This window comes from Homo sapiens, chromosome 4, assembly GCF_000001405.40.
Source record: "Homo sapiens chromosome 4, GRCh38.p14 Primary Assembly".
In the NCBI taxonomy this organism is placed as follows: domain Eukaryota; kingdom Metazoa; phylum Chordata; class Mammalia; order Primates; family Hominidae; genus Homo; species Homo sapiens.
This window is the reverse complement of record NC_000004.12, coordinates 56,730,769-56,744,430: the sequence shown is the minus strand read 5'-3', so window position 1 is coordinate 56,744,430 and position 13,662 is coordinate 56,730,769.

The window sequence follows — 13,662 nt, the reverse complement described above, 5'->3', positions numbered from 1 at the left end:
ACCATTGCTTAGGGCTGCAGTTCCTAAACTGTGTACCAACTTGTCCCAGGGAGCTTCAGTGAACTGCTAGGGGCACCATGGAATGTTTCAAATTTTTAACAAAGACACAGTGATCCTCAACATCTGACATGCCACAAAAACTACTAGCTACTAGGTAGTTCACAGTATCAACTTTAGTTAGCACTACTTTCCTTTTGATGACATCGTGTTTTTGTAAAGCTAGGTCTTTGGTGGTTGCTATGACAAAAAGTAAGTATTATGAGAAAATCAGTGTGAAACAGTAATAAAGGTGGCAGTGTCCAATGTGAATCCAAGGTCTGAGGACTTGTACAGTGCCCAACAGGTGCACATTCCCATTACAAAGTAATTGCAGTTGTTTAAAAGTAAAATAAAATGTTTTTATTTCAATTTATGTAAATTATTTTTGCAAATGACTACTAAGTGTTGGGAGACAATTCTCCATGGATTTCTCATGGGCTTGCACATGTCATAAGCAAAGGCCCTAGCTGCCTTTGATCCAGACTATATTTTCAAGATGTTTGTGTAGCTAATAGCCTCGGGAGGCAGAGATAGCAACTTCCTCTGGAGTAAAGAGCAGGTCTGTTTACTGTCTAGTAATAAAGATAATGTCTCCCTCCAGGGCAAAGATCAGGCAGGCTTACTGCTGATTATAAAAGATTCATATTACCAAAGCTTGGTAACCTGAGATTCAGGCTACCTCTCCTATAATACAACCCACTGTGTCTGCAGGTGCCATATGTCCCTCTTCATATAGCACTGTAGGAATCAGGGCTCAGAAAAGCAGAGCTAATGAGGACACTCTGGCTATTGCTACTGCCAAGAGTAATAAATTCCTTAGTTTCTGACCCAGGAGTCTTGTGTCTTCTGCCAGCATCCATAAAACTGTGGCAGACTAACTTGCTAGTTTACAAGTAGGATGAAATCTCAGACCCCTCACAGTTTTTGACATTAAGTTGTTAGGATACACGAACTTATTAGGTTGTTTGGATAAAACTACTCAATACACAGAACTGTTGGGTACTTCTTTTGGCCAGGGAGCACTGTGATAAAATTACTGAGACACTAAGGGTGCTGTGAACTGAGAAGTTTGGGAATTTCTGGCTCTGTGCATTTCTGTGCATTGTTCTCATCTCTGTGTGTGTGTGTTTGTGTGTGTGTGTGTGTGTGTGTGTGTTTGACAGAGTCTCACTCTGTCACCCAGGCTAGAGTGCAGTGGTGTGATCTTGGCTCACTGCAACCTCTGCCTCCCGGGTTCAAGTGATTCTTGTGTCTCAGCCTCCTGAGTAGCTGGGATTATAGGCATGCACCACCATGCACAGCTAATTTTTGTACTTTTAGTAGAGATGGGTTTTCACCATGTTGTTCAAGCTGGTCTTGAACTCCTGACCTCAGGTGATCCACCCGCCTTGGCCTCCCAAAGTGCTGGGCAGGTGTGAGCCACTGCACCCAGCCTCATCCATGTGTTTGAAGATGACTGGGAAGTCATCACTTTACATCACAGAGAGGTAAAAGGGAAAAAGACAAAGGAAGCAATTTCTTTTTAAAAGCAAGCCAGGCACAAGTCACACACATTTCTGGCTCACATTCCATTGGTGAACTTAGTTATGTGTCCACAGCCAGCCACTAAGGAGGCTGGGAAGTGGAATCTCTAGTTAAGTATCCATGGCCTGGCTTAAACTCTACATTTCTGGAAGAAAAGGAGATAGATTTTGGTGGACAACTAACATTCTCCACCACAGAGATATTTCCTTATGGTTAGTTATTGCTGCTTGAACTAATACTCCGGGTGGAGATGTGTAAATAGTCTTTTAATATCTTCATTGTGAGCTGGCACTGTGTGGTTTTTATCTGACAGGAATGTGCTTGGTAATCTCTGCAGTTTTCTTGCTTCCTTACCCTCTTTTGGCTTCCTATACTAGCCCTAATGCTCAGAACCCATTAATGAGAATCTCTGCTGATACAGTTTGGCTGTGTCCCTACCCAAATCTCGTCTTGAATTGTAGCTCCCATAATCCCCATGTGTCCTGGAAGGGACCCGGTGGGAAGTAATTGAATCATGGGGGCGGGTTTTCCCGTGCTGTTCTCGTGATAGTGAGTAAGTCTCACGAGATCTGATAGTTTGATAAAGGGCGGTTCCCCTGCACATGCTTTCTTGCCTGCTGCCATGTAACAACTGCCTTTGCTCCTCCTTTGCCTTCTGCTATGATTGTGAGGCCTCCCCAGCCATGTGGAACTGTGAGTCCATTAAATCTCTTTTTCTTTATAAATCACCCAGTCTCAGGTATGTCTTTATTAGCAGTGTAAGAACAGACTAATACATTTGCCTAGGCAGATTCTGGGATGCCCAGTCTCTTCTCTTGGGTGGCAGGTGCTGGGACCTGCAATGTGTATTCTTGGATTTTAGAGCTTATGGTGGAGGGTGGAGCAGTGAGTAGGGCATGGATCCTCGACTCATGTCTACAGCAAAGTGGGGCAGAGCAACCATATTTAGCACCAAATACAAGCAGGAGTGGATCCAGGCTTTGAAGGGCCTGGGGCTTAAACAATTTGGGGATTCTCTTTAAGAAAAAAAGATATAAAATTAAGTATGTATAAATAATGAATATTTATTACTTAATAAATATTTACTATTAATAAATAATACACAAATATTTATTATTTATTCAAAATAAATATTCATTTGGAATAAGTGAAGTAATAATAGTAATTTTTCAAATGTAGAAATGCTGGCAGATATTACAAACATCAACACATTTTTAAAAACTAATATTTTTATTCATTATCTGTCCAACACACCTCTATAAATTTTTTGGTAATTTTTATATGATTAATAATTCTTAAAAATATATAAAACTAATCTGAAATTAAAATATACAGAAGAGCACTTGTTTTTTTTTTTTTTTTGAGATGGAGTTTTGCTGTTGTTGCCCAGGCTGCAGTGCAATGGCGTGATCTTGGCCCACTGCAACCTCCGCCTCCTGGGTTCCGACAATTCTCCTGCCTCGGCCTCCTGAGTAGCTGGGATGTCAGGCACCCACCACCATGTCTGGCTAGTTTTTGTATTTTTAGTAGAAACGGGGTTTCACTGTGTTGCCCAGCCTGGTCTTGAACTCCTGACCTCAAGTGATCTGCCCACCACAGCCTCCCCGGCTAATTTTTGTATTTTCTAGTAGAGATGGGGTTTCACCATGTTGGCCAGGCTGGTCTTGAACTCCTGACCTTAAGTGATCTGCCCACTTCAGCCTCCCAAAGTGCTGGGATTAGAGGCGTGATCCACTGGGCCCAGCCTCAGAAGAGCAATTTTAAATTGTACTTGTGTTGAACTATATTATAATTATTAATCTAATTATAATTATGTAATCAAATTACTATTACTTACATTGATTTATTAATGAATATGTATAGGAGTTTTGACATAAGAAAACTCCTCAGGCCATTTTGCCATTTCTGTGTCAATGTTGTGTGCCTTTTCGTCAATGAACAGACCTCGTCAGCCCAAGAGCATCAGATGTGCTAAGAGGTGATGTGATCTGATTGGATGCATAAAATGTGGGACTTCCCACACAGATGGGCTTGCTGTTGGTGATACTGCTACAGTTTATGCCCTACAAATCCAGGAATTGTGACCAATCCTATTTTGTGACATTCCCATCAAAATATATATGTGTATTATGTGTTAATAATTGTGTACACTCTCCTATCAAGTATATTTCTGATAGTAGCAAACTTTTGTTTTAACCAGGTATCAATGAGAACTGAATCTTCCATTTAAAACTGTATACCTCTGATGATTGGAAGCATTTTCTGAAGACTAGCTTTTGGCTCCAGACATTTCAAACTGTATTTTCCCTCCATTACTTACATATATTTCTGGTGGTGGGCACCGTTGGACACGTTCATACCACAATTTGACCCTTGGCTCTGCACTTTGGTGTTATGACACTAGATGAGTTGGCTCAATGGGATTAGGAATATTTCTGGAAGTCATTCCTACACCAAGAGGGCTGGTAATAGCCTAACTAAACATAAAAGCGACTGCAAACCACATAAATATATGCCACTCAATCCAAACTTCATGTATCCCCAACTCAAGTTGTCCTTAGTCAGATGCCAAAAATGCCTGCCACCAACTCATCACTACTGAATAGAACGCTGATGGTGAGAAGGTCAGAGAGGAAAGACAGTGATCTTAAACAAATGCTGTTAAAATACTTTTATTTTCCAAATTGTATAAAATCACATGGCTATAGGAACATATTGTTAGGGCTGCTCAAGGGGTGTTGCATGGGGCACATGAATGTAAAACTTGATCTCCAATAGCTTCCCTTAGCAATACATAGGTTGTGAGTGACCACAGGCAGATCCATGTACAAACCAATGCAATAGCCTCAAAAAACAGCCATCATTTTGAAGCACTTTATAATTTACAAAGCATTCATATTCATTGTCATAGTCAATGCTCAAAGCAGCCTGTAGGTTGCCAAAGTAGATACCAACATTTTGAGAAGTAAAATAACTTGCTCCAGGAAAGCGAAACTTTTTGGACCCCAAACTGAGGTTGTCCAACTTTACAATTCATGCTCTTTCATTCCACCACACCAGAAAAGATTTGTACAAGAACTCTTTGCCCGACATATATTAACAGCTCAAGAAATATTCGTGTAACCAATGAAAGAAAAGAAAGAAGTAGAGTGGGAACCAGGAATGCTTTAAGGACCTGGGAAAGACAATCCTTTAGTGGGAAGGAAAACAGACCAGAATCTCAGGCTTCCCAGCATCTCTTTCAGATGTCAACCTGTTTTTCTTGCCCAGTGGCTCCGTCCAGTGTAATGAGGGATCAGAACACAGATGATTACTCCATAAACAGGCTCTGGGTCCATGCACTCCCATAAAACAGTTTCTGTTTTTCTGGGTTACAGGTAGAGAGTGAGCTGGGTTTTCCTCTGTAGGTGGGGGTGGGGTAATGGGGAGCAGATGGGTGAGTTTTAATTAAAGTTAATTGTGGCTTTGGTAAATGAAGAAAATGATGAATGTGCCATCCACCCGTTGCATGCCTGTTGCTTAACTTCAGTTGTGTGGTGGGAGGAGGCTGGGAAGAAAATCTGGACTTTTCATTTAAATGTCTGAGGCCCTGATCTTCATTCCAGATGTGGTGAGATCAGTGATAGGATCTCAAGTTTCTCTTCTGCTTTGTCAGACCTCAGACAGGAGGAGGATTTTCACACTGAGTTCCAACACCTAAAAGCAGACGAGGGGATGGAAACTTATGAAAGTTTCTTTAACTGGGGGCACAGTCCATTCAGCCTCTGGAATTTCTGACAACCACATTTCTTTCTGTTTTTAAATTTCTTCTTCTTCTTCCTCTTCCTCTTCTTCTTCTTCTTCCTCCTCCTCCTCCTCCTCTTCTTCTTCTTCATCTTCTTCCTCTTCTTCTCCTCCACCTCCTCCTTCTCCTTCTTCTTTCTTCTTTCTTCTTCCTTCTTTTTTAATAGAGAGGGGGTCTCTCTATGTTGCCCAGGCTGGTCTCAAACTCCTGGACTCAAGTGATCCTCCCACCTTGGCCTCCCAAAGTGCTGGGATTACAGGTATGAGCCACCATGCCTGGCCAGTGACAGCCCAATTTCTACCCCTTTAGCAGGAGTGAAGAGAAGGGCTTATTTAAAACTAGGGCCCAGTAAGTTGGAGAGTCGAATGGTCAGAGAAATGAGTAGAGAGGTCTCAGTCAAGGAGGTGAGGTCTGTTCAGAATCATTTCCATTTATGTTTAAACCTTTAGTGGCTTCCTGTTGCCCTCAGAATAAAAGCCAAAGTCCTTAGTGTAGCCCACCAGGCCCCAGATGTCCTGGCTGTGACCTCTTTCTCCCTCGCTTCCCGTGCTCCAGCCTGGTGGCCCTCCTGGTCCCCTCTCTGTCCTGCAGCCTTTGCATATGTTGCTTTCCCAGTTCTTCATATATTTGGCTTCTTGTAATCTTTCAGGTCTCAGCTTAGATTCACTTTCTTTGTGTGGCCTTCTCTCACCACCTTATGCAAGGCAGCAGCCTCACCCCACTCTTCCAGCCACACTTACCTGCCATCATCTCCCTAGCACTTCAGTCTATAATGTTCTTGTCTATTTAGTTGTTTCCTTACTTATTATTGGCTTCCTAACTTACTAGACTGTAAGCTCCATGAGGGCAGAGGGCTTGATTCTCTCATTCTGTCAGCATAACCCCAGCTCTTAGCACAGTGTCTGCCCCATGGTTGATGCCTAATAAATATTGAAAAAAATAGTTTCCCTGTATGGCACTACCTGAACTACCTGTGGAAGGTTTATCTCCATGGTCAGAGTGGTTTTTCAAACTCTCAACCCCGGTCTTTGCTTTCCTACCTTAGGTTAAGCCTTCTGTCCATCAGGATTCGAAGACCAAATTAAAAAAGGCTTGTCTTAGGTCTCTCTGAGGACTCTCATCTGGTCCACTGATTAGAATAGGGGAGCAGAAGTTTTTGCAGCTGATGAAACAACCTGTTTCCCAAGTGTGTGCGCTCTCTCAGGCCAGACAGGACATGCCCTGAGAGCTTGCCAGGGCACACTCCGTCAATAATGGAGGTACCGTTCAGGCTGCATGGGCAGAACCCCGGGAGGACGGCAGCTGGCAGTGTCCATGGGAGGCGACCCTCAAGTCCAGGAGAGGTACACATAGGAAAACAAAACTCTCACAACAGGAGCCAACCTAGTGCTGGAAATGCCACTTTGCATGAAATCCCAGCAGCTGAGAGCCAAGAGAGGTGGTAAAAACAGAAAAACTCCCATCCAGACATACATTTTCCACTGGAGCCCATTCCACCTCCATTTGCTTTGCCAGGGCCTTGCCATGAGGATGTTACATGCCTTCACAATCAAGAGCATCAGTTCAGGGAGAAAAAGGAGGCAAAAGTGGAATGAAGACAGCAAGGCCACAGACAAGGAAGAAGGGCTACTGTGGAAATGCTTCCTGATTCTAGAGGGTGATGATCCCAGGAGTTCCCCTGGCGTCTCTGCTAGACCCCTCGTCCTAGAGGGGAGAGATTATCTTTTGTTTTTGAGATGGAGTCTTGTTCTGTCACCCAGGCTGTAGTGTAGTGGCGTGATGTCGGTTCACTTGAACTCCACCTCCCGGGTTCAAGCAATTCTCCTGCCTCAGCCTCCAGAGTAGGTGGGATTACAGGCACATGCCACCACACCCGGGTAATTTTTGTATTTTTAGTAGAGATGGGGTTTCACCATGTTGGCCAGGCTGGTCTTGAACTCCTGACCTCATGATCTGCCTGCCTCAGCCTCCCAAAGTGCTGGGATTGCAGGCATGAACCACCACACCCAGTGAGACTATCTTTTTTTTTTTTTTTTTTTTTTTTTGAGACGGAGTCTCGCTCTGTCGCCCAGGCTGGAGTGCAGTGGCGCGATCTCGGCTCACTGCAAGCTCCGCCTCCCGGGTTCACGCCATTCTCCTGCCTCAGCCTCCCGAGTAGCTGGGACTACAGGCGCCCGCTACCACGCCCGGCTAATTTTTTGTATTTTTAGTAGAGACGGGGTTTCACCGTGTTAGCCAGGATGGTCTCGATCTCCTGACCTCGTGATCCGCCCGCCTTGGCCTCCCAAAGTGCTGGGATTACAGGCGTGAGCCACCGCGCCCGGCGAGACTATCTTTTAATGAGGATGTTCAGCCTGATGGCCAGCAGCCCTGGGGTCTAGTCCCAACTGTGTTACTCACTTTGCTGAGTAACTTTGGACAAGCCAGTTTGCCTGGAAACTCAGGTTCCTTTTTCATAAAATAAAAAATTAAATCTATTTATTTATTTATTTTGAGACAAGGGTCTCTCTCTCTCTGTCACCCAGGCTGGAGAGCAGTGGTGTGATCAGAGCTCACTGCAGTCTCAAACTCCTGGGCTCAAGCCATCCTCCCATCTCAGCCTCCTGAGTAGCTGGGACTACAGGTGCATGCCACCATGCCCAAGGAATTTTTAGTAGAGACAAGGTCTTGCTATGTTTCCCAGGCTGATCTCAAACTCCTGCACTCAAGTGATCCTCCCACCTCAGCCACCCAAAGTGCTGGGACTACAGGTGTGAGCCACTTGCCCAGCCTAAATTTTAAAAAATATGGTAAAATATTCATAGCATAAAATTTGCCATTTTAACCATTTTTAAGTGTACAGTTCTGTGGCCATTAAGTATATTCAAATTGTTGTGCAATGATCACGACCATCCATCTCCACAACTTTTTCCATCTTCCTATATTAAAATTCCATACTGATATGGTTTGGCTTTGTGTCCCCACCCAAATCTCATCTTGCAGATCCCATAATTCCCACATGTTGTGGGAGGGACCCAGTGGGAGACAATTAAATCATGGAGGCAGGTCTTTCCTGTGCTGTTCTCATGAGTGAATAAGTCTCAGGAGATCTGATGGTTTTAAAAACGAGTGTTTCCCTTCACAAACTCTCTCTCTTTGCCTGCTGCCATCCATGTAAGACATGACTTGCTTCTCTTTCCCTTGCACCATGATTGTGAGGCTTTCCTCACAATCAAACCTCTTTCTTTTGTAAATTGCCCAGTCTCGGGTATGTCTTTATCAGCAGCCTGAAAACAGACTAATACACATACCCATTAAATTATAACTACTTTTTCACTGCCCTCAGGCCCTGGCAACTAGCATTCTATTTTCTCTTCTTCCTTTCTTTTTTTTTGAGACAGTTTCTCACTCTGTCACCTAGGCTGGAGTGCAGTGGTATGATCTCGGCTCTCTGCAGCCTTGACCTCCTGGGCTCAAGCAATTCTCCCACTTCAGCCTCCCAAGTAGCTAAGACTATAGGCATGCACTATCATGCCTGGCTAATTTAAAAAAAATTTTTTTTTTGTAGAGTTGGGGTCTCACTATGTTGCTTAGGCTGGTCTCAAACTTCTGGGCTCAGACAATCCTCCCTCCTCGGCTTCCCCAAGAGTTGGGATTACAGGCATGAGCCACTGCACCCAAGCCAGCATTCTACTTTCTATCTCTATGAATTTGACTACTCTAGGTACCTTATATAAGTGCAAGCATACAATATTATCCTTTTGTGAATGATTTATTTCACTTAGAACAATGTCTGCAAAATTCATTCATGCTGTAGCTTATAGCAGGATTTCTTTCTTCTTAAAGGCTACATAATATTCCATTGTTTGTAGTTACCACCTTTTGTTAATCCATTCATCTGCTGCTGGACACATAGGTTGTTTCCACATTTGGGCTATTGTGGATAATGCTGCTGTGAATGTGGGTGTGTGAATCCATCTCAGTCCCTGCTTTCAATTCTTCTGGATATATATCCAGAAGTGGAAGTGCTGGATCATATGGCAATTCTATGGTTTATTTCTATGGTCATGGCAATTCATACAATTTTGTTTCTTGAGGAACTGCCATACTGTTTTTCACAGTGGCTTTGCCAGTTTACATTCCAACAGCAGTGAACAGACGTTCCAATGAGAAATTGAACTTCTTTTAGCCAGAGAATTCATCTTTGGAGGAAATATTCCAGGAAGCTCTACACACAAAGGACATTAAGGTAGAGGATCCAGAAGCAGTGGGGGCAGGGACCGCAACACACCCTACAAACATCTCTAAGGAGCAAAGTGAAACCTGGATAAGACATCCTCTAAGTCTCCTCCACACATTAAGCATTGATTATTCTACATTCATGTGACATGTTGAGCAGCCAATAGGTTCAAGCCCTTTTTTTTTTTTTTTTTTTTTGAGAGACGGAGTCTCTCAAATCTTGGCACACTGCAGCCTCTGCCTCCCAGGTTCAAGTGATTCTCCTGCCTCAGCCTCCCGAGTAGCTGGGACTACAGGTGTGTGCCACCACGCCCGGCTAATTTTTGTGTTTTTAGTAGAGACGGGGTTTTGCCATGTTGGCCAGGCTGGTCTGAAACTCCTGACCTCAGGTGATCCACCCACCTCAACCTCCCAAAGTGCTGGGATTACAAGCATGAGCCACCGCACCTGGCCACAAGGCATATTTTCTTCACCTGTGCATTACTTGCTGTACAAGGGGTTTGAGAAGACTTGAAAAACTCACACAATAGAAAAGGATAAAACACACAGTGGAGAGTATCAGGACAGAGGAAGGTGGGAGAGATGCATTGTAATATATGAGCAAATAGCCACTGCCTCTGCCCACAGGCTATCTTGTCTATACATATTGTAGGCAAAAGAATGTTGGAGAAATCTGGGTAGAGATTATACACATGCGGAATCTCCAGAGGCAAAGGAAGACAAAATTGTTTATGTCAATTTTATATCTGTCTCACCCAAAGCCGCACTGCAAGACTCAGAGAGTAAAGGGAGCAGGAAAAAAAAAATAACATGTTGAGGAGGCAAAGGTGGTGCTTCTAAGAATGAACTCAAGTCATACGACCTTAGGTTGAAATCCTATCTCTACCACCTGCTAATCCAGGGCAAAAGACTTAACCTCTTTTAGCCTCCGTCTTCCCATCTACAGAAGGGTGATGGTAGAAATTGTTGTGAGGATTAAGAGAGAGAATGCATGTAAGACACTTAGTCCAGGGCCTGCTGTAGTCACTATCAGTATTGGCAGCTACTCTTACTGAAATTATATTTTGAAGGTCCCCATGCCATATCTGTTTTGTTCACTCTTCTGTCCCCAGCACTTAGCAGAGTGCCTGGCTCAAAGTAGGTACTGAATGGATATTTGTAGACTTGAATCGATGTAACTGTCTCTCCTGTTGGACATGCCCTGTGCCACACCCCCTCTGATGGTGGTGGGTGACAGGGTTGAAAAGCATGAGGTCAGGCTGGTTAAAGGCATTGCTCACTAGGTAATACCCAAGACTAGATGTTCATGGGCTTTGATGAAATCAAGCTATGGAATGTACGTGGCCATGACCGCCCAGGTCAGGCCCTGTCTCATGCTATCCCCCATGCCCTCCCTCTTCAAAGGAGTGTGTCTTGCACCATCCCCACCTGTTCCAGGAAGAGACGTGAAATGATAAATTAGAACAGGACATATATCAGTCCCGCAGACTTTTTCAAATCAATTACTATTTATTAAATGTTAAGCATGCACATGATTAAGGCTCTTTGCCGGGCACTGCAGGAAGTTCAGAGTTGAGCAAGAAAACACCTTTTCTCTCAACATATTTTCCAATAATTGGGGGGGATATATGGATATATGGTAGTATAAGAAAAATGCCAGACCAAGAGGATCAATGAATGATACGGAAAATGAAAGGGGGAGAATTCACACTCAGCTGTAATTATCTGCAGATCTTTCTCAGGGGAGGCAGCTTTTTAGATGGTCTTTGAATTTGGTAGGTGAGGGAGAGGGGAGCCAAGGGAATCGGAAGGTTTCAGGCGCAGGAGGAATGACAGGATCATGGAAGCAGAAGAATGTAGCATGCGTGGCAATCGACATCATCGATTTTAGATGGATCACAGGAAACATGTAAAAACATGTCTAGGCTGGGCGTGATGGCTGACCCCTGTAATCCCAGCACTTTGGGAGGCTGAAGCGGGCAGATCACTTGAGGTCAGGAGTCCAAGACCAGCCTGGCCAACATGATGAAACCCTGTCTCTACTGAAAACACAAAAATTAGCCAGATGTGGTGGCATATGCCTGCATATGCCTGTAGTACCAGCTCCTCAGAAGGCGGAGGCAGGAGAATTGCTTGAACCTAGGAGGCAGAGGTCACAGTGAGCCGAGATCAGGCCATTGCACTCCAGCCTGGGTGACGGAGACTGTCTCAAAAAAAAAAAAAGAAGAAGAAGAAAAGAAAAACATGTGTAGAAAGGGAGCTTCGAGGCTTTTGAGGTCTAGGCAAGGAACTTACAGGGAAAGGGGAGTAACTGAGGAATTTTGAGTGGGGAAATGGTGTGATCAGACTGGTATTTGGGAAGATTAGACTGACAGTGGCATGTGACCTGGACCGAGACTGGAGAGAGGTGGAAAGTTGGGGGTGACTTCATGGACAGTTGAAGTGAGTCTGGGCAGAAATTATGAATGACTGTGGGCAGCAGGAATGGATAGAGGGCCTATGGAGATGCTTTGCTGAGGTGGCCATCACATCCAGGATTTAAAAGTCTGTTCCCTTGTTTTACCTTGAGAGAAAGTGAAGTGTGGCTCTAATCTTTCCTGGAGTGGCTCTCACAGCCTTTCTGTGAACAGACTCCGGGCTTGGAAGCAAAGCGTGGATCCTGGGTCTGAGGCTGGCAGCAGGGCTTGGAGAGCTGGAGGCATCTGCCACCCTCCCCGGCCCTCCATGAGCTTTCCCCCCCCCCGTTCGCTGCTTCAGAGGAAACACCAGGCTGAGCTGGATTGCAGAAGTAAGCTTCCCTGCCACGCCCAAGGCCCTCTGTGCTGTTGGGTCAGCCCCACTCTGCCTGGCCCCCTGTCTGCAATGATAAGGACATAGCACCTCAGTCATGCATCTCTGGGAATGTGACAAAGACAAGGATAATTAGCTATGTGTTCCCATTCGACCGTCTTTTCTCTCCTCCATCCCCAGCAGCTAAAGAGAAGTTCTCCTAATTTGCTCAGCTTCTCCCTCTTCCCTACTCTCCAAAGAGAATTCTGTCTTTGCTGGTTCTCTGTTTTTCTTATGATACAGAAATAGACATAGAGAAGGCAGACTTGAGAGTTAGGAGGACAAGGGGTAAAATTCCTGGTGGCTTGGGTCAATTCTAGGATCACCCTTTTGTGTATAAAAAGGGGCTACATGAACAGGATACTAAAGAATGAAGCCAGAAGACAAAGTCAATTTATATCATAAGGAGCTAAGAGAGAAGTATGGAAAAAAGAAAATAAAAAATAATCTGGGCTGGGTTTCAGGGAACATTCGTAGAGGAAAGCTACCAAATGAAGGGCTCTGAGAACCAAAATGTGCTGCTGTAGGTTATAGGTTAAATCTTTTTTAATGCCAATTAAATGTTGGAATTTTGTTTTGGTTGCTTAGCTATGTTTTTTTTTGTTTGTTTGTTTTTGTTTTTTTGAGACGGAGTCTCACTCTGTCGCCCAGGCTGGAGTGCAGTGGCGCGATCTCAGCTCACTGCAAGCTCCGCCTCCTGGGTTCACGCCATTCTCCTGCCTCAGCCTCCCGAGCAGATAGGACTACAGGCGCCTGCCACCACGCCCGGCTAATTTTTTGTACTTTTAATAGAGACGGGGTTTCACCGTGTTAGCCAGGATGGTCTCGATCTCTTGACCTCATGATCCGCCCACCTCGGCCTCCCAAAGTGCTGAGATTACAGGCTTGAGCCACCCTGCCTGGCCTATGTTTTTAATGTTTTATTTTAATGTCACAGTGTGCCAGACTGGACAGTATTGTATTCCAGCTTATATGTGGGTTATTGAATAGCATAATGGTTCACATCAGGAATTCTGGAACCAAACTCCCAGCTCCCAAATCCTACTTCCACCACTCAATAGCTGTGTTACCTTTGGCAAGATATAGTACTTGCTTCTCTGTGGCTCAGTTGCTTTGTCTGTAAAATAAGTTAATGAGAGCCTCTACTTCGGAAAATTGTTATGAGGATTAAATGAGTTACTATTTGTAAAGTTCATAGAAAGCTCATGCAAAGCCTGGCATGTAATTGGCGCTATAGAAGCATTAGCTATTATTAGTACAGGGACATC